The sequence below is a fragment of the Homo sapiens genome, chromosome 2, assembly GCF_000001405.40.
Source record: "Homo sapiens chromosome 2, GRCh38.p14 Primary Assembly".
In the NCBI taxonomy this organism is placed as follows: domain Eukaryota; kingdom Metazoa; phylum Chordata; class Mammalia; order Primates; family Hominidae; genus Homo; species Homo sapiens.
Window position 1 is genome coordinate 126,934,974 of NC_000002.12, and position 21,768 is coordinate 126,956,741.

Genomic DNA, 21,768 nt, shown 5'->3' on the forward strand with positions numbered 1-21,768 from the left:
GCACAAAGGTATCCTAGACACAGCTGCATGTCCCATTGCAAAGCTAGGGAAAGAGCACTCTGGGCTGCAAATGCAGACCTGGCAGCCATCAGCACGAAGTGTGTGCAAACTGTCTCACAACACTAGCATCAAGACGTCCAGTTTCACAGCATTGGGCCTCCTCCCTCCCCACTCCTACATCAGCCAAGACCCCCAGTGGCTCGCTCAGAACAAAAGGGTGACAGTCTGCTTTCCCGGCAAGGCAGCAAGAGCCATGGAGTGGCTGGGGCTGCTGATGAGAGGATGGCTCCACCAGAGGTGCCTGGCCAGACACAGCTGCTGCCTGCCGAGCTGGCACAGCAGCTGCAGAGCCACAGAGCTCAGGACAGACCTCTGAAGGAGGCAGGTGCAACTGGCCATGCCTTGCTCCACACCAAGCTCAGTCCCACAGCCCCTGGTCTAGGCCCCTACCCACCCCCAACCATTGTCATCATTCTCCCCGAAATCCCCACTGAGTCAGGCTGGGGCATCCACCATCCACCAGACACACAGCCAGCAGCCTTCCCAGTAGCTCAGGCAACTGCCACCTTCAGCCTCACCTTTCTCAAAAACATTTACTTGGCTGTATGGCTTATTATGGTGGGATTCTATTTATTTCTTGAAAAAGTTAATATAATTCACATATTTCAAAAATTTGAAAGTACAAAAAGGAAGACAAAGTCTTCCTCCTCACCACTGTCCTCAGCCACCCAGCACCCCAACCCACAGTTCCCCAGGACACGTCTGCCGTGCAAGCACAGGCTCACCCGACCCTCACACAAAAGGCAGTGAGCTACACAGAGCTCTGCATCTTGATCTCTTTCATTTAATGATATATCTTAGAGAGTATTTCCAATTAGCACTTAGAGAGCATTCTCATTCTTTGTACCAGTGCATTGAGGGTATGTCTTACTGTCATAATTTGTGTAGCCACCTCTCTATTGGTGAATCGCCGGTGTGTGTCCCGTGGTTTGCTGTTACTGACAATGTTGTGGTTAATAACGGCACTCAGATGTCAACTCACCCACGTGTGAAAAAATCTGTAGACTAACACCCTAGAAGTGAAAAGGATGAAGATGTGTTACCACCTCTCAAAAACCACCCAAGAGACCAGCCAGCACTTTTTTTTTCTTGTAGCAGAAAAGCTAAAATAGAAGTGAAATGCCATGAGAGAAGGGAAGACAGACGGCAGGAGGCGAGATGGGCCTTTGTGCCCAGACTTTCCAGAGGAAGCAGGAGTTAGGTTAAGGGGTGGAGGAGGACGAGCAATGGACACACACAGCAGGTTGGGTTTTCCAGGAGGCAGACTCAGAAACAGAGTCTAAGGAGCAGGATGTTTATGAGGGAATTGACTTTGGAACCCACACCCATGGAAGAGAGGGGATAAAGCAGGCATGAGCAAGGGAGAAGCTGGGTAGCCATGCAGGCCAACACTGTGAGGGACTCAGAGCTGAAGCGAGCAGTCAATGCCTGATGGAGGCGGGGTATTAAGGCCCAGCTATTCTGACTGTGTTGGGTGGATCAGGCATGGGCCATGCACCGCCCTAGGCAAAGGGACTCTGCAGCTGAGGGAATCCCTGAAGACAGCTGAAAGCTTTATGCCAACTTCACTCACAGCAGCAAGGGCAGTAAGTCCTCCCTGAAATATGATCTGGGCAATGCATCTCCATGTCCATCTCAATGGCAGACAGGACTGTGGGAAATAACAACAGTTCCTAGAAAGGCAGATTTAGAAAGAACCTAAGAAACGTTTTTTTATTGATAGAGGTGCAGGACATCAAGGGAGCCCTGGCTTAGTGAAATGGGAGGATGGTTCCTCACTGAGACAGAGGTGGTGCTGAAACACAAAAAGACAGCCAAGTGGTACAGATGGCATGGCTAGGGACCCAGTGTCAGCTCCAGGCTCTGAAATGCAGGGCTCCAATCCTGACACTAACCAGGTATGACACTGACAAGTACCTTGTTTACTCTGACAAGTGACTTTACATGGATTCCTCTTGCCCTTTGCTTCCCTCCACCCAAGGGCTGAGCACTGATGTCCATGGTTCTGCTTGGTCATCCTGCCCATCTTCTGGGCCTAGAACCCTGCAGGTGGGGGTGAGAAGTGGGAGGGAAATTGCACAGGGTGAAGGAGAAATGCAAGTTAATACAGGATTAAACTCTCTGACCTTCAGTTTCCTCATCCACAAAGTGCAGGAGATGAAACTTACCTTGCAGTCTGTCTGAGACTTCAGTGAAGAAAAGATACAAAGTCCCTGGCACATAGCAAGAAATAGTAGCCACCCTTGTTAATGCTGTTGTGGTTGCAGAAACAATAACTCTAGATTTTGAAAATTCAACCTTGCACAGCAGGGCTGCAGCCAGTCAATGCCTCAGTTTCCCCCTCAGCCCCCTCTCCCTGGCTGTCACCCTCTCCACAGCACCTGGCCTTGTCCCCTTCCCAAAGGCTGTGCTACCTACTGACTCTCAGCAAATCCAAACACAGGTCAGTTACATTCCAGAGGGAGTCTAACATTGAAAAGCCTGAGAGATCCGGAGTAACAGAGCATTGCTCTGGACACTTCAGGCCCAGAGAGCTTTTCTCTCCAAGCCCCTCTACGCAGCAACCACACTCAAGTGTACACATCTGTGCACAAATGTGCGTGCATGCACACGAGACTTGGCATAGCATCTCTGTGAGACTGAGAGAGCTTTGCAAGCGTCTTAGGTCTTCAGCAAAGCTGATCCATTTCCCAGTGGTTCTCAGACACTGTGGTTCTCAAAATGTGTCCCCAGACTAACAACATCAGCCTCACTTGGGAACTTGTTCTAAATGAAAATGTTTTGGTCCCCGCCACAGACCTTCTGAATCAGAAACTTTGGAGGTGAGACCCAGAAATCTGAGTTTAACAAGCCTTCCAGTTGACTCAGGTACACACTCATGTGTGGAAACTACTGCCCTACATGGAGACTTTGGGGTGGGGGCTGCTGTAGAGAAAGAGCCGGTCCTGGGTCTGCAGTGCAGCTTCTCAGTCTCGTTCCACCCACTGCATCAACAGCAAAGCCTCTCATTGTCTCTCACTGGACCAGTGCCGCTCTCTCATGCCCGGGTTGCTCATCTTTGACTGTTCCCTCTTCAAATACAGGTTCCTCAGCTGCTGGATTGCACTTCTCAAGGCACGACTTTACTCCCTCACTCTACAGCTCAAACACCTTCAGTGGCTCCCACTGCCCACAGAACCAAGTACAAACTCCTTGGTAAGGTCATCAGATGGTCTTACTCCTTGGTAAGATCAGATGGTCTCTCTGAACAACAGGCAGTGTACCCTTTAGATTCTCCTCCCATTATCCCAGCCTGGAGTCCATGCGCAAGCAGAGAGGACAGGCAGGCAGTGCTGAATGCACTAAGCCCAGTCAGCACATGCCCTTCCACTGAAATGATCTATCACTCTCATTTTGAATGTGGCCTCCTATATGAAATCTCATTCTCCCAGGCCTTTTCTCTATTTCTGCATCTCTGACTCTCCTTTTAGTGTTCATCATAAGAGTCTCCATGGGAAGGCTAATTGAGTTTCAACCCCTTTCCCCAAGATGCCTAAACTCATGCCCCTTTCTCCTGACTGGACAACATCAAGCCTCCAGAGAGAATAATCTGCCAAATGGAGGCACTGGTAAGCAAGACCCAGCATCCCGTGTGAAAGGGTAGACACAAGCCCAGAGAAACAAGGGTTTTAGAAGAAAAGTAGCTAGTTATCCTAAAATTTATCATCATTCAATGGCCTCAAACAGTGACATTAATAAGCATGTCAATGAGCCTCTCCTTCCTTTGCAAATTTGTCAAATGCCAATTAAAAACCCAGGACTTCATTCTGAGTGGTTGTATTAATATGAATACCATGACTGTTTCAGAACCTCCCAGATGTTTAAGGGAGCACCTCCCCTCCATTGAGAACAATACCAGTTATTACTAAAAACTCCTGAATGTGGTTAAGAAGGGCAGAAAGAACAGACAAGAGCCAGTGGAGACTGAGGATGTCTCACTGAAGACCACTTGGTGAGACCCATCAGCTAGTCATAGCTAACACATGTAACTTACTATATGTTCCCACACTTTTACACATATTAACTGACTTTATCTACCTCACCTCTATGAAGGAATTTCTATTAGCAATATTATTGGTATATTTTGTACTGACTAATATATTATGATTCATTTTCACTCTGCTTTAAATAAACCAACATTGATTTCAATGGCCATAGTGAACCCAGCTTTGATTTTCCGGTTTGCTTACAACTAGATTGTTGTTACTACGGAATTGAGCCATCATTCACTCATTCATCTATTGAGTGTGAAAATGCATATTAGGTGCCTACTGTGAGTGAGATACAGTGTCCCATTGAGCATTCAAAATGAAAAAAAATGACGACAACATATGTGTTCCCCAAATCCTCCCATTTTCTTCCTGAACACACACATTTAACTACATTTACGAGCCCCCTGGGACTTAGTCTGGGACCAGGGGACTGAGTTAAGGTTAAGATAACGAGGGCAGAAGTGGTATACACCACCTCCAGGCCTAGCCCATAAAAATCTCCACTCTGTTCACATTCTTTCTGCAGTAACACAGATGGTCACACATGGTCACACATGCTGAAGATGGTAGCACCACAAGACAGAGGAACATGGTCCTTGAAAGGCTGCATGGAGCAGATTGTCCTCCAACCAGTGCCAACCACATCCAACTTGAGCCATTAATACTATTTTGTGTCTTAAGCCATTGAGATCTGGGAGCTCTTTGTTGCCACAGCTACCATTACTGAAGCAGCTACATTACCTGACCCCTTCACAGTTGGGAAATGGAGCACAGGGGCACTGGAAAAAGGCTGCCGCTTCAATGCCAGCAGGGGTGAATTCCACTCACTGAGACCCACTGCACTTCACCCCTCATGGGAGGGAGAGCACACAGGTGAGTGGGTGCAGGAGCCGGGGCAGTCACTTTTGGGTGCCAGCATGAATGAACTTTGTACCAACCCCACAGCAGTGTATAGGGAGCTGCCCCTATACACTGAGCCCCAGCTGGCTCCCCTGAAGCCCCAGAGGAGTGTCACAGTCAGTACTCTTTTAACTTTGCTATCCACAGATGGCTTAAGTGTTAACAGCTCAGTGGAGGGTTCGTGTGACAGCCTTTTGCACCCACATTCATGTCTCCAAGTTCTTGTCCAGTGTCCAGGAAAAATGAAGTCACACAAATGAATTGAAAATGGTAAATGCAGGGAATTTTATTGCCAATGAAAGTGGCTCTCAGCAGGATAAGGAGTTGAAAAGGGGATGAGGCGGGAAGGCAATACTCCCCCAAAGTCCAGCCATCCTCAGCCAAACTCCTCTCCAAAGCTACACCATCAAGCTACTTCCCTCTGAAGTCAAGCCACTTCTGTCTGACGTCCAACCATAGTCTCCTATGTCCAGCTGCTTCTCCTCTTGTCCTCCCTCTGCCAGTTGAGCCTGGGATTTTATGGGCACAGGATGGGGGGCGGGGCAGGCCACAGGTGGTTTTGGAAAACAGGGATGCAAGTTCTCACTTTAGGCTGCGGCTCCAGACTTGATGGTGGGGCCCTTGCCAGGGACCTGCCCTCTTCTGCCCAGAATTTCCCTGCCTCCTGTCCATATCATTACCACCCTGACAAGTACTCTACATCTCTGAGATTTTGGTAGATCACTGTTCAGTTTTTTTATGTCAGCACCCCCCCGCCTTCATTACTTTCCCACTGTGTGCTCTAGAGGGGCCACAGACACCCTCCAACTCTCCTTTAGCTCTTAGTGGGCTCTCTGGCTGTATCTGGAAACCAAATTGACACCAGGCAGATTAAGAAGAAGAAAGCCCACCAATTTTACTAGTTTTACATGTACATGGGGATCTTCACAAGAGAGTGGAGTCCAAAGAAGTGGCCAAAGGGAGATGCTTTTATACTTTTAATCAAAGAACCATAAATTTCAGAAGAAATGACAGGACAAAGGGGATCTGGCTAGTGCAGTAAATTTCCAGGGGACTCACTTGAAGATATATAGGGGATGGGGAGGTGGTAAAACTGAAGAAAGATAAGCATTACTTTTGTGGAAGAAAAATAAATCACAGGACCCCAAAATCAGTAAGCCAAAGGGAAAACTGAAGCTAGGTACTATGTAGGCAAACCTGCCTCCCATTCTATTCCTTAACAAGAGATTTTTTCTTAAAAGCTGCATACCTCCCTCACAGTTTGCCCACAAGGAAATCCCTTGTGGACAAAAGACAGACAGGACTCAAAGTCGTCCCCCTGCTCACATGAGACAAATGCATATCTGATTGCTTCCTCTGCCTTGTTATTTCACTAAGCAAGACTAAGGCATAAGTGACTTATGTAAATGGTGTATTCAGTGAAAGGCTAATCAGAGACACCAAAGAATGTAACCATTTGTTCCTTACCTACCTATGACCTGGAAGCCCCCTCCCCAGCCTCAAGGTGTCCTGCCTTTCTGGACCATACCAAAGTACATCTTTTTTTTTTTTTTTTTTTTTTTTTGAGACAGAGTCTCACTCTGTCGCCCAGGCTGGAGTGCAATGGCACGATCTCGGCTCACTGCAAGCTCTGCCTCCCGGGTTCACGCCATTCTCCTGCCTCAGCCTCCCGAGTAGCTGGTACTACAGGCGCCCGCCACCATACCTGGCTAATTTTTTGTCTTTTTAGAAGAGATGGGGCTTCACCATGTGAGCCAGGATGGTCTCGATCTCCTGACTTCATGATCCACCCGCCTCGGCCTCCCAAAGTTGGTGGGATTACAGGCGTGAGCCACCGCGCCCGGCCACCAATGTACATCTTACACACACTGACTGATGTCTCATGTCTCCCCAAAATGTATAAAACCAAGCTGTGCCACCTTGGGCACATGTCACCTGAGGCTGTGTCATGGGTACATCCTTAATGTTGGCAAATAAACTTTCTAAATTGGTTGAACCCTGTCTCAGACATTTTGGGTTCACACTTTGTTAAGTATGTTTATTCAGGTCCATTGTAGCCCCAATTCCCAGCCTCTAGTGATAAGGGCTATTTTCTCACCCTGGTACTGTGAGGGTACCCCTCCCAGAGGACTCGTAATGGTTTGCTGCATGCAGAAGACAGGTCAGCTAGCCCTTTCTGAAACTACATATTTACTATTTTCCACTTGAAATAATCAATACACCAGTCCGGCATATTTTAGGATGGTATATGCTTCATTCCTTCAATGTCTTTGGGAAAACTATTTAATCTATGTTAACTGTGATTTACACATTGGAAAACAGAACTAATAATACTTAAAATACATGGTTGTGGAGAGATTTGAATGTAAAATAGAACTGACATTGTCCCTGGCTTGTAGCAGGTGCTCAGTTAATGGTAGTTATCTCGTGCAGCCATTCAAGCTCAAAATTTTCACAAAAGTAAATGATATTGGATGAAGAAGGAAGATAATTGCATTTTTCCTTGTCCCTTGGGATGAGTTAAGTCCAGGATTTTCACAGTTTGCCTCAGTTTGGCTTCACACTTCTGTGTTCACCAGGGGTTGCTTTATTTACCTGGATGTAGAATTGAATAGGTGTGAATTGCAAGATAACAGCTCTGGAGGGCTGACATTAGCATTTCAAAAAAGTCGTCAAATGGCTGATGGGAAGTGTTTTCACACACTGCCTAATCTCTTTTCACACATCTATGCTCCAGGCTGGATGCTTTTTATCACCTGTGGAAGGAATTGAATAGCTGTGAGCTCCACAGCCATGAGGCTTACATCATATTTTAGCATTTCAAAGAGAAATCAAAGGAGCTTTTAGGAAGAATTTCCACAGTTCTCAAAGTTATACCCAGGCATTTTCTGGATTCTAGTAAGTTGTTATAAGTCCAGAAAGAACTGAACTGAGAAAAGCTAGGAAAAATACAATTTTGCATGGGAAAGGCCCTCACAGCCCTGCGGGGCCCTCCTGCCACATGCTGACAAGGGGTCTCTAAGCCCCGATGCACCCCTGGTGGTGGGACGGGCTCCCTCAGGGGCAGCTGCACCACTGTTGAGCCTGTCAACTTTGAAGATTTTTCTTCTCTTGAGCAAACATCTGCTGCCCTAAATGCCTGTTCATCCTTTGTGGTTATATGTTTTACAGTAAGGCAAAATGAGCTAGACTCCCTGTTGTGGGACAATCCTTCGGATATCTCAGGGCAGCTGTTAGAGATGCCTGTCACCCTCAGCCTCACTACCTGGCACCCTCATTCCTTCCCTTTGTCCCAGACATGCCTTCACTGGGAGCCTTCCCAGATATCCTGGCCGCTCTCCTTCTAATGGATTTTTTTAATAGACTTGATTTTTTAGGATAGTTTTAGGCTCATAGCAAAACTGAGCAGAAGGCACAGAGTTCCCATACACCCCCTGCCGCACACATGCACAGCCTCCCCACCTATCAGTGTCTCTCACCACAGCAGTGCATTGCTACAGTTGATGAGCCTGTGCTGACATGTCACTATGTTCCCAGGAAAAAAACGGAGTTCATTCTGAAACCAGTCCAATTGTCCTATCAAACTAATACTTATGGTTATTTGAATAAACATAGAAATAGACTCCCACCCCAGGGTTAAAATTTGTAATTTGTCTCATCCGAGTTTCTTTCTCAGAAAACTGACTCTCAGGCAAGAAACTAAAACTTATCAGATTTCCACATCCAGATAATGAGATGTCAGCCCCCTCATCCATCATGATTACTTCCTTACCCCTCCCTAATTCCTGGCTGTATAAGCACCCCAATTTTAATCTGTTGGAGAGATGGATTTGAGACTGAGCTCCCATCTTCCTTGGCTGCAGCACCCAATTAAAGCCTTCTTCCCTGGCAGTACTTGTTGTCTCAGTGATTGGCTTCCTGTGCAGCAAACAGCAGGACCTAGACCAAACCCTCAGTGCTTCAGTAACAGTTTGCCTGGCAGGTAACAGATGACTCCCTATGAGAACACAGGTTTTGATCAATAGTTTCATTACTTGGCACAAATAAGAAGAGCACTGGGAGGATTCTCCAAAGCAGTGTCTCCCTGAGAAAAAGGGACAGGAGAGTCTTATGGGGTGATAGGGTGGGGAGAGGGTGCATAGCTGCATATAGAGGAGGGGCCCAGTGGCGCAGACACAGTGAGTCATCATGCCAGCGCATGGGTTGCATCTTATGGTAATGAAGCTACAGCTACTCCCAGCATGGAGACTTTAGCATGGTCATGAGGATAACATTCACTCGGGGCCATTTATAAGTTGCTGGGGTCTGTCAGGACCTGGTTTCAACTGACTAGGTGACTGCATTCCACATACTGTTTGGGGAAAAACAAGCTGCAAGGTAGGAGACTGTAAAACAGGCTGATTGCTGAAGTTGGTTAAATTCCTAGTCCCTGGAGACCCTCCCTGTCTGCTTACAATGATCATCCAAAGACCATAGTTGGCATGCGGATTCAGTCTGGATGATGCATATTCTGTGGGTTTGGACAAATGCATAACAACATGTATCCACCATTATAGTATCATACGGCATAGTTCGCTGCACTAAAAATCCTCCGTGCTCTGCCTGGTCATCCCTCCCCACCTCCTGTAGGGGAGGAAGGTTTCCTCAACCCTTTTGGGGTCCCTGGCTAGGACCAAAAATAAAACTGAAAGGACAGATCAACAGGAGAAAAGCATACAAATTTATTCAAGAAACTTTACATGACATGGGAGCCTTAATAAGCAAATGAAGAGTCCCTGAAATAGCAAAACCTGTGTTTTTTATGCTAAGCCTGGTGAAAGAAGTGATGGCTGTGGGGAAACATGACTGGACAACGTGGGTGTCATCTAACAGTAAAACACTGAGGGGAGCTCAGCCTGGCCTGTGTGTCCTGGTGCTTTTCTGTGTCTCTGGGTGATACTCTTTCCCTCTGAGTATCCAGCTGAACATCTGTCACTTGAGGGTCTTCAGGGCAGAAGGGTGGGAGAAGGGAAAATAATGCCCATCTCATAGGACCATTAGGAGGATTGATTTAAAAAAAAAAAATTTAAGAATGTAAAGTTCTCCATTTTTACTTTAGTCTCAATAAACACAGTACCTGCCACACTTTAGGCACCCTGTATGTAATTAATTGATCGAACTGGTTAATAACAAGCAAGGCATTAATGCTTTCCCTTCCCAGAGCATCAGATCTGAAAAGCAAAGGGAGGAAGTTGGAGGGGTAGATGTGGGGGCAGAGAGAGAAAGAGAGAATGTGGGAAACAGGCAGCTTCCGCACCTCCTGGCAAGGCGCCAATGCACTTACACCACTGGAAGCCTCGGGTGTCTGGGGCAGCAAGGGCTGGCTGCCCACCAGACATTCGTGCTCCCCTTCCAGAGACTGAGGTATGGCTGGAGGGCAAGAGTCCCGCCAGAGGTGCAAAACCCAGGCTCCACACATCTCAGTGTGATATGTCACTCATTCCCAATGTGAAATAAAAATAAAATCTTAAGCCCTGGACAGACTGAATGGACTGCTCCTGGCCAAGGAGACCCCAGAAAAACATTTAAAACTAAGTTTCCCAGCCATAGCCATGAAGAGACAGGAGGTTGGTCATGCCTCAGTACTCCCCCTTCCTCAGCAACCAATACCAGGCCAGTTTTTTCCTAAGAATTAAACAGAAACCAGCCCTGGAAAACTAAAAATGGAAGACTCCTCTGTGGATTCCAATTTCAATCAACCCCCTGATGCTGTCACCAGGGTCCCCTCCCTTTTTGCCTTTCAATGTTGATGGCTGACCAGTGTCACAAAGCTTTCCTATGACCCTGACCACAGACTGGTTCTGGCCAGTTTACAGAGGCTATGCACTGAGTGACTCTGGATCCTAAGTTTTACCTTTGGCATGTAGGGCTTAATTTTACTGCATCTATAATGTTAAGTCTCCACCCCAAGGTGAACATGGGATATATGCAACATGTATGTTTGCTTATCATGCCTGTGCAGGACCCTTTTTCATGAATATTCATAATCCACCTATAACCTGTAACAAAGTTATATTTAGCCAACTAATTTAGGAAAACTCCTTGTCCTCCTTCCTCCCTCAAAGTGCCTGCTTTTGGCCTCTGCTTGAGGCTCCAGTCCCAGTCCTGCAGGTTGCACCCTTTATAGAAAGTTTCCCTTTCCAAATTTATGAATCTCGTGAGTTCTAAGTCAATACCACCAAAGGCATGAGACACGAGGTGATGTGGGTCACATCCACGGCAAGCTGCCTAAAACAGGGTCCTCTTCTTCACTCTCATTCTTGCTTTCTCTTTCTGCCAGATTAATGCAGATTAGCAGGATGGATTCATCTCACCCCAGCCCAAGGCACCAGTGTCTGATTCCCAGAATTATAACTCCCTGAGGGTTGGGATAAACACAGCTCCCCCTCCCTGCCCCCATATGAGCTACTCCAGCCTGAGCGCTCATCCACCCATCTGGTTTCAATCACCACCTACTGGCTGACCATTCCCAGGCAGACATGGAGCCCAGACCCCACGCCTGTGCATCGCATGGCCTCTGAGCTGTCTCTGCCTGCAGGCACCTCCAATTCCACACAACGCTGCCTAAGTCAACCCCTTTCCTGTTGCACATCCCACATCCCACATGGGCACCGGAGCCTCGTCTTCCTCATCATCCAAACCTGGATTCCATCACCTTGCATGTTAACTACCTATCCAGGTTAACTATTCACCCAGGTTAACTACCACCCAGGTTAACTATTCACCCAGGTTAACTACCACCCAGGTTAACTATCCACCCAGGTTAACTACCACCCAGGTTAACTATTCACCCAGGTTAACTACCAGCCAGGTTAACTATTCACCCAAGTTAACTACCACCCAGGTTAACTATTCACCCAGGTTAACTACCACCCAGGTTGGGTCACCCCTGCCCCAATTCTTCATATCCCCCAACTCCTCCTTGTCTACTCCCTCTGAAGCCCTGCTGTATGTAACTCTGATATGACATCTGCCACCCTACATACGAACTACCTGATCACAGGGAGCACAAACTGTCACCCTAAAGGTCCAGGTCCACAGGCCCAACACACAAAACCATCACTAGGGGCTACAACTCAGCCACACTGGCCTAAGGGAGAAGAAAGGAAATAAAGACCAGGCATATTCCCACAGCCTCACTTACAGGGAATGTCCCCCGTTCCTATTAGAGGGAGGAAGGGTTCAAAGTCAGCAGAGAGTGTGCCTGGGCACGGCGCGTAGTGTGTAATATATGCCTGTGCCTAAGTTAACTGTGCAGGGAGCTGTACTTCTCATGCTCAGTGCATCCCTTGGCCATCGTGTGCTTAAAGCCCTGAGTTAGCCAAAGTCTCAGGGGGCCCTGTGGGGAGATCTGCCTGGCTGCCATGGTCAGGATCCTGATGCCCACAGGGGAGACCAGCTGAGCAATCCCGAGTGTAGAAAACTGAACAAGAGTGGTTCCTCTTATTTTTTATTTTAGCTTTATTGGATTGTTTTTTCTCCAATTGTATACATAGCACATTCTCACTCTAAAAAGAAAAAGCCAAACAGAACAGGAAAGTATACAGGGAAAGTAAGAATTGCCTGAAATCTCTCCACAGCGGCCATCCTTTCATATGTTTCTCTATGCAGATTTAGTGTTTAAACACAGTATTTAAATGCCGATGTTTAAGACACATAAGTGGAGATTTGTGTTGGGACAGTGATGTGGCTAACAGCATGTTATCTGGAGCCACACTGCTCGGGTTCCAACCCTGGCTCAGCCACTTCCTGGATTTGTGATCAGGGGCAAGTTGTTTGACCTCCCTGTGCCTCAGTTTCCTCACCAGCAAAATCGAATTAATAAGGTGGTATTTACCTCCTATGGTTATTGAGAGGATTAAATCAGCATCCTATGAGGCAGGTGCTCTAACTTCATTTTACATTTATGTTTGTCTTTTAAATACATCATCTGCTTATCTAGGCAAGCTCATCTGCATATTCAGGCCAGTGCTGAAGCATTTAGATCCTTTCCTGTCGTTTTCTGCGACTGTAAGAGGTGTCTAAAGCCCACTGCCCAACACCAGGCAATCCTGCCCCTGGCTTCCCATCTCACAGCTCCTCTCAGTTGCCCCTTGTCCATGGCTGCTGGTCGAGGCCACCCCTCTAGAATCACTGCCTTTCCTGTCTGCTCCTGTCCCTCTCCAGTCCCAGGCAGCTGGGGCATTCTGCAGCTGGGACACAGCCCTCCTGGCCAGGAAGCTCACTGTGTGGGCAGGCCCAGCCCCTAGCCATGTTAGCCTATCCATTCGTCTGGTCAGGGCCCCTCATTCCCTGTGCATACCACTCCCCAAGCCGCACATCCAAGAACGACAAAGTCCCCTCCTGATGGACCTGGCCTGCATCTCCACCTGGCCACTGCTTCTAGACACCAAGAACCTCCTCCCCCAACTATATCTCAATGTCCCCATCTATAAAATGGGACCATTGCATGCAAAGGCCTCCCTTCCACCCTGACATTCTACATCTGAGACTCTGTCCTGGCCTATGACATAGATGCTAATTCTGCTTTACACCCCTGGGAACGCTGTCCTGCTTTGGGCCATTGTCAGCGGGGCTGTCACCAGTCAACCCAGGCTCCCCCTACCAAGCATGCATGCTTTCAGCCCTGGCCTTTCCCCCCTTGATCTCACTGCCCCCTCTCAGGGTCCTTAATCAGTGTGAGGAGGCAATGCACGTGGCCCTGCTTTGTACAGGTGCAGGATTAACAGAATGGATTCAGTAACTCAGCAAGGTGAGCGCACCCCAGCACTGTATGGTGCTTTGTTGTTTGAGGAGGGCAGTGGGTGGCTTAGATTTTTTGGTGGCAAGTTGATTTTTTAAATTATCAGGTGGCTAAAATTAGACATTGCAGTATGGGCAATGCCTGTGATCAAAATGCCCCCTCCTGGCTTTCTAGCTGCTAAACAGCACTCTCTGTGCCCCTGGCTCCCCTGCTCTGGGTTGGTAGAAGATGTGGCTTCCTGGGCTGGTTTCCTCAGAATACTCCTGAATTCCTGCAGAGACTGGGAAGGGACCCATCCCCGCCAGCCGCAGGCTCAACTGGAGTTGGCTCAAGGTTATCTTCCTCACAGGCGTAAGCTAGTGGGATTTTTCCTGCTGGGGCTTTTCTGCTAATTGTTCTTTATTGAGGTATAACTGACATATGGTAAAGGACACAAATCTTAAGTGCTCAGCTTGATGCGTTTTGACAAATTCACACACTCACGTGAGCATCACACAAATGCAGTTAGAGCATTTCCATGGCCACACAAAGTCCCCTTCAGTCACTCTCCCAGCCCCTGCTCAGGCAGTGATGGCTCTGACTTTTCAAAATTCAGTGGGATTATACAGTGTGCCGTCCTCTATGTCTGACTGCTTTCTCTCAACAAAATGTTTCTGAGACGTATCCATGATTGCATGTATCAGCAGTTCCTTTCTATCAATGAGTAGTATTCCACTGTAGGAAGATAACACAGTTTGTACCACCTGTTCATAGAAATTTGGATTGTTTCCAGTTTGAGGCTACAGTGAAGAGCCACCATGGAAGTCCTTGTGCATGTTTTTTGTGGACATAGTCACTCATTTCTGCTAGGTATATTTCTAATATTGAAACTATTGGATCATAGGGTAGATATATGTTCAACATTATTGAGATGGAGCAAGGACCCCTAAGACCCATCTTAAGGGCCTACGGGGTCATCCCCAAGCATGGAAATGAAGGAAAATCTGAGTCTCTTCAAGGGCAATTCCAAACATCTAGCTGGCCTTGGGAGGTAAATGAGAAATCTGATAAGCAAGAAGGTAACAGCAGCTTAAAACAATCACCAAGGAAATTAGAGACACAAGATGTTTGGTTCCTATAGAAATTAAAATAACATCTTCAAACATGTCCCTTAGTTGTTTTCCAGAAATGCGGGCCGCCATGATGGAAAATGCTGACCGCTGTCATGCAGACCTCAGAGAAGGAGGAACTAGGGACTGAAATCTAACTGTAGTTCCTTGTTCTCAATTTCTTCCTGCCCGGGTGCTGTAATCCTAGCACTTTGGGATGCTGACCGGGGCAGATCGCTTGAGTTTGAGCCATCATGGCAAAACCCTGTCTCGGCCAAGCACAGTGGCTCACTCCTATAATCCCAGCACTTTGGGAGGCCGAGGTGGGCGGATCACCTGTGGTCAGGAGTTCAAGACCAGCCTAGCCAACATGGTGAAACCCAGTCTGTACTAAAAATACAAAAATTAGTTGGGCTTGGAGGTGGGCACCTGTAGTCCCAGCTACTCAGGAGTCTGAGGTGGGAGGCTGGCTTGAGTCCTGGAGGTAGAGGTTGCAGTGAGCTGAGATTGTGCCACTACACACTCCAGCAATAAATAAATAAAAATTTCTTCCTGAGGCGCCTGGAGAGAGTTATCCCCACAGGTCGCAATTTAACATTCCTTTTTTCTGACCTTAAGTTTTTAGACAAAGCCTCATTTATTTAACCAACTGCAAATCAGAGAATCTCTGAATCCTCCTATGACCCGTAAGCCCCCACTTCAAGATACCCTACCTTTTTTAGCCTAACCAATGTATAACCTCCATGTACTGATTTACAATTCTGTTTGTAACTTCTGCTTTCTTGCTATGTACCCCTGCCTTTGAAAGCCCTGTTTACAAGCTGCTGGGGAGTTTGAGCCATAAGCATTAACTGCCCAGTGCTCGCTTGGCACTGTGCCATAAATGCCTCACTTTCTCTCGCAGCAAATCTCCATGTCAGCTTTTGGTTTTGCTGTGGACCCATGCTTGGTTTGCTAACATTATCAAAAAGAGCCAAATAATTTTCCAAAGCCATTGTGCCATTTTACATCCCCACCAGCAATGTGTGAGATTTCCAGCTATTTCACATTCTTATTTTAGCCAGAAAAGTGGATGCATTTTTAACACTACCATCAATGGTGTTTTTTCATTTTATTTTCCAATTGCTTGTTGCTTATATATAGAAATACAACTGGTTTCTGTCATGTCCTCTATTAAAAAAAAACAGTTTTATCTTTTCCTTTTCTAGCTGTATGCATTTTATTTTATTTTTTCTTACCTTATTACAGTGTCTAGGACCTCCAGTATAATATTGAATAAAGTTTATAAGACCTGGCCTTGCATTTCTTCTAACCTAAGGGAAAAAAATTCAATGTTTTATGATTAAGGTTTATGTTAGCTGTAGATATGTCACAGATACCTTTTGTTAATTTATGAAAGTTGCTTTCTAGTCATGGTCAGCTGAGATTTATCATTTATCACCTATTTATCATAAATAAGTGTTGACTTTCATTACATTTTTCTAAAATTTTTAAGAAAATTATGTTTGATTTTCTGTCTTGCTAGTGCAGTGAAACAAATTGATTTAGAAATGTTAGACCAATCTTACTTTTTTGAAATAAAATGCAGCTGGTCATGAGATAGTGTCCCTTTTAAATATTGGTTGATTAGGCTTAATAGTATTTTGTTAGAATTTTTGCATTTTTATTCATTATTTATTTATTTATTCCTTTATTTATTTATTGCAATATCCTTGCTAGACTTTGATATCAGGCTTATGTTGCTCTTATAAAAGAAACTGGGAAATATTTCCTCTTATCTATTCTCTGAGGAAAAAAATTGTGAACAATTGGCAATTTTTTTCCTCCTACAATGTTAGGGAGAATTCACGAATAAAACCATATGGACCTGGAATTTTAAAACTTAGAACAGTTTTTCATGCGGCCTTGATTTTTTTTAACATTTTTTAGCACCATTCAGATTTTCCATTTCTTCTTGTGTTGGTTTAGGCAATTGTATTTTTCAAGAAATCTGTCCGTTTTCTTTTTTTTTTTCTTGAGATGGAGTCTCACTCTGTCACCCAGGCTGGAGTGCAGTAGCAAGATCTCGGCTCACTGGAAGCTCCGCCTCCCGGGTTCACGCCATTCTCCCGCCTCAGCCTCCAGAGTAACTGGGACTACAAGCGCCCGCCACCATGCCTGGCTAATTTTGTTTTCATATTTTTAGTAGAGACGGGGTTTCACTGTGTTAGCCAGAATGGTCTCGATCTCCTGACCTCGTGATCCACCCGCCTCGGCCTCCCAAAGTGCTGGGATTACAGGCGTGAGCCACTGCACCCAGCCCCATTCCCGTTTTCTTTAAATTGTCAAATTATTAGCATAAAGTTGTGTGTAATAATAGTTAACATGTTAATATCCCTAAAAGACTGTAGGATCTGTAGTAATATCTTTTTTTTTTTTTTTTTGTCAATAGTCCTAGAAATTGACAATGTTACATTTTCCCAGAGCCCTGGGCTCCGGAAAATAGCAATCATTAAGAAATCCCCTTACTTGTTTGTATTCCAGAAAAAGACTTACTGCAAAGAAACACCCCTCCCTACATAACTTCCCCCATATGACTCACAGATGCCACATTGTTCATCTATCATGAGGCCAAACACAGGCACTCCAAATTCCCACTCTTTGTCTCATAAATTATTAAACTACTTGGTACCCACTGTTCAATCAGAACAAAATGTTTGTTAACCTAACCTTAGTTAAGATTCTGTCTTTCCCCTAGGTCCCAGAATTCTCACTCACCTTCACTCTGAGCCAACATACAACATACAGCCCTTCCTTAATGGCCTTTCTCAAGAGTAGGCTGACCTCAGGATAAAACATCCTCTAACCTATTGTCTGATCATCTCCCCTCCAACCTGTAATCCTGTTCTTCCAATTTTCACACTCTGGGTTCTTTCCAGGTTTGTTTACTCCTCCTTATAAAAGAAAAGTCCTTTTCCGCTTAACCTTTGAGACCCTTACAGTTCTCATGGTGAGAGAATTCTCCTTAATGCGATAGTCCCTTTCCCCCTTCCCTTGCAATAATCTTTCAGTTAAAGTCTCTTCTTATCTAAATTTGGAGTTGTTTTTTATTTGACAGAATTCATCAATTTTACTAATCTATTCAAAGAAACAACTTTGGCTCTGTTAATTTTATCTGTTGTTGATTTGTTTTCCGTTGGTTTCTGCTCTTAATTATTTTCTTCTGCCTTCTCTCTGTTTTCATTATTTCTTCTGTTTTATGACTTATTGAGATGAAAGCTAGATCATTTAGTTTAAAACCACTTTCCAATTTAATATATTCACTTAGTGCAATAAATACATCCCTTTACATCCCACAAATGTTGATACATTGTTTACATTTTTGCTTGGTTCAAAATATTGTCTAACTCCCTTGCGATTTCTTCCTAGATCCATGGGTTATTTAGAAGTATGTTGCTTAATTTCCAAATACTTTATAATTTTCTAGGTTTCTATTTTTTGGGGGGGAAGGAGGGGGTTTAATATGGTCGGAGAATGTACTCTGTATCATTCCAATCCTTTAGATGTCATTGACATGTTATTGTTTTTAATATGCCCCAGGCGATAGTCTATCCTGGTAAGTATTCCATGTGCAATTACACAGAATGCTTATTTATAGAGACAAGTTTCTATGGGTTCTCATGTTTCTGTATGTCTTATAAGCAGAGACACTAATGGTAATGGCCCTTTTTATTTTTTGAAAGACATTTACATAGCAAACAGCCTTTGAAGATGGAGATAATGTATTCATTTGGAACAGAGGGCAGCTTAATTTGCTGGCCGCTGTAATAAAGATAATGACTCCCTCTGGGGCAAAAGTTGAGTAGATTTGCTTTCACCCTGTGATAAAAGCCTGAGGTTTCCTAACCTCAAGGTTCCTCAGCTGTGATGCAAACTCACTGCTTGTATAGCATCCACCTGGGCCATACTACGTTACCCCAATGAGAGTTGGCAAGGAAATAAAAGGAACCAAGGCAAACATGAAGTTCAGTATGCTTGCTGTGCTGTGAATTATAAGGCTTTTTGTCTCTGACGCAGGAATCTCAGACCTTCTCCAGCAACCATGAAACTGGGAGGCTAAACTAGCATGCAAGTAGGGCAAATTCTAAAACCTTTACTGTTCTTGACATTTATTATGCAGCTGTTGGATGAAATGTTCTGTATATGCTCATTAGGTTAAGTTTATTAATCAGGTCATTCAGATCTTATATATCCCTACTGCTTGTTTTTCTGTATTTTTTATCAGTTATGAGAGAAGGGTGTGTGTGACTTCCATTATGATTGTGGATTTGCCTCTCTCTTCCTGTACTTCTGCCAATCTTTGCTTTTTGTGTACTTTTTTAATAGATGTTGATATGGTTTGGCTCTGTGTCCCCACACAAATCTCATCTTGAATTGTACTCCCATAATTCCCACATGTTGTGGAAGGGACTTGGTGGGAGATAATTGAATCATGGGGGTGGTTTCCCCCATACTGTTCTCATAGGAGTGAATAAGTCTCATGAGATCTGAGGGTTTCATCAGGGGTTTCTGCTTTTGCATCTTCCTCATTCTCTCTTTGCCTGCTGCCATCCATGTAAAGCAGGACTTGCTCCTCCTTGCCTTCTGCCATGATTCTGAGACTTCCCCAGCCAAGTGGAACTGTAAGTCCAATTAAACCTCTTTCTTCTGTAAATTGCCCAGTCTCGGGTACGTCTTTATCAGCAGCATGAAAATGGACTAATACAGATGGTGTCTTGTTTCCCAGGCTAGCCTCAAACTCCTGGACTCAAGGAATCCTCCCATCTCAGCCTCCTAAGTCACTGGGACAACAGGCATGCACGATGGGGGCCAGCTTGTTTTGTGTGTACTTTGAAGATATAATAATTCGTTCAAATTTTTTGGATTATTTGTCATCTTGAAGAACCAGCCCTTTTATCATTTAAAATACCCCTCCTTATCTTTGGTAATATTTCTTATTATTAATCTATTTTGAGATTAATACAACCACACCAGCTTTCTTGTGCTTACTGTTTATGTGGTATGTATTTTTCCATCCTTTTACTTTTAGCAGTAGTTCTATTATATTTAAAGTATGTCTAAAAAAATAGTATGCAGTTTCTTCCTATTTCAACAGTCTGTCTTTCATTGTAGTACTTTGGTGGTTTTAAAATATGTCCACGGGCATGATGTCAGCAAAATGACTGACTAGGAGACTCCAAGCTCTCATTCCTCCACAGAAACACACACAAACTGTGTAAGCCAACTTTGCATGAGCTCTGGAGAATAATCAAAGGTTACAGCTCCTAAGAAAACATCTAATCAAAAAAAGCCATCTGAAAATTGGTAGGAGAGTTTTGTGGTGGTTTTTACTCATCCTTTCCCCATCCTCTTCCAGTGTGGCAGCAGCCTGGTCTTGAGTGTCAGGATCCCAGTCTCCACTCCTTTCCCTCAAACCAGAAGGAATAGAGCAGACCCTATTTGCAAATTACTATGTACATCTGTTATAACCTGGCTAGGGAATACCTAGAGGACTGAGGTAGGGTGCTCATCTCTGTATGGCATAACTGAATGCAGGAAGAAAGAGCAGTGGGCACTTTTCCCCTAGTAGTTTGTAAAGCTACAGGGAACTACAAGTCAACAGATGTTTTGGGCAACAGATTACAAATGGAGACGTACAACAGACCATCTAAGGCCCAGAGGAGAAGCTGGGGTGAGACTCTTTGGAAAATTAGGACATACAAAAGCAGCCACATATATGGAAGAAGTCAGTAGTCCACACATGGTCAAACAAGATGCATGCTCAGGAAAGATCTGAGATGACATTAAGTTTTCACCTCAGGCTGACTCCTAGACTCAGAGCAAGCCTATCTAAGTAGCAAAGGAGTGTCCCAGCACAAAGCCCATCTACAAAGACTAGAAGAGGAGGTTTTTCACTCTTTTAGGCTTCTACTGGGGGGGAGGGCTATTGTTTGCTTGTTTGAGCTCCACACATTCAAAAAACTCTCTGAAAACATTAGCTAAACCAAGCTTACATAACAAAGTGATCACACATGACAAGGGCTTTGCAGAAATAGTTTGAAAAATCCTCAAAAGAAACTACTACAGCCTTTGACAATTAGAATAAAAAAGAGCAAATGTTGGGAAAAGAAGGAAATCTGTTTTTCAGAGTTACCACATTGTAACAGTCAAATACCCAGTATTTAATAAAAACTCACAATGCATAGAAGAAAGAAAAACAAGAAAATATGGCTTCTTCAAAGAAGCAAAATAAATAACATAAACCATTCGTGAAGAAGCCCAGACATCAGAATTAGTACATAAAGACTTTAAAACAACTATATTATGTATGCTCAAAGAGACAAACAAAACCACAAAGAACTAAAAGGAATCAGGAAAACAATATATGAACAAATGAGAATATAAATAAAGACATAAAAGTTATAAAAAGGGGAGTGGCTGGCAAGATGGCCAAATAGAAACAGCTGTGGTCTGCAGCTCCCAGTGAGATCAACGCAGAAGGTGGATGATTTCTGCATTTCCAACGGAGGTACCCAGCTCATCTCATTGGGACTGGTTAGACAGTGGGTGCAGCTAACTGATGGCGAGCTGAAGCAGGGTGGGGTTTCGACTCACCTGGGAAGCTCAAGGGGTTGGGGAACTCCCTCCTCTAGCCAAGGGAAGTGTGGGGGACAGTGCCATGAGGAACGGTGCACTCCAGCCCAGATATTATGCTTTTCCCACAGTCTTCACAACCCACAGACCAGTAGATTCCATTGGGTGCCCACACCACCAGGGCCCTGGGTTTCAAGCACAAAACTGGGAAGCTCTTCGGGCAGACACTGAGCTAGCTGCAGTTTTTTTGTTTGGTTGGTTTTTTCATACCCCAGCGGTGCCTGGAACGCCAGTG

The 21,768-nt window shown here is 45.0% G+C and overlaps 1 annotated feature.

Annotated features, from left to right (window-relative positions):
- Positions 7,254-8,158: an enhancer, noted in NCBI's record as "OCT4-NANOG hESC enhancer chr2:127699803-127700707 (GRCh37/hg19 assembly coordinates)". NCBI's record gives its function as "activates a minimal SCP1, AML or CMV promoter by ChIP-STARR-seq in naive and primed H9 embryonic stem cells {active_cell/tissue: H9 hESC(naive and primed)}" and the evidence as "EXISTENCE:reporter gene assay evidence [ECO:0000049][PMID:30033119]".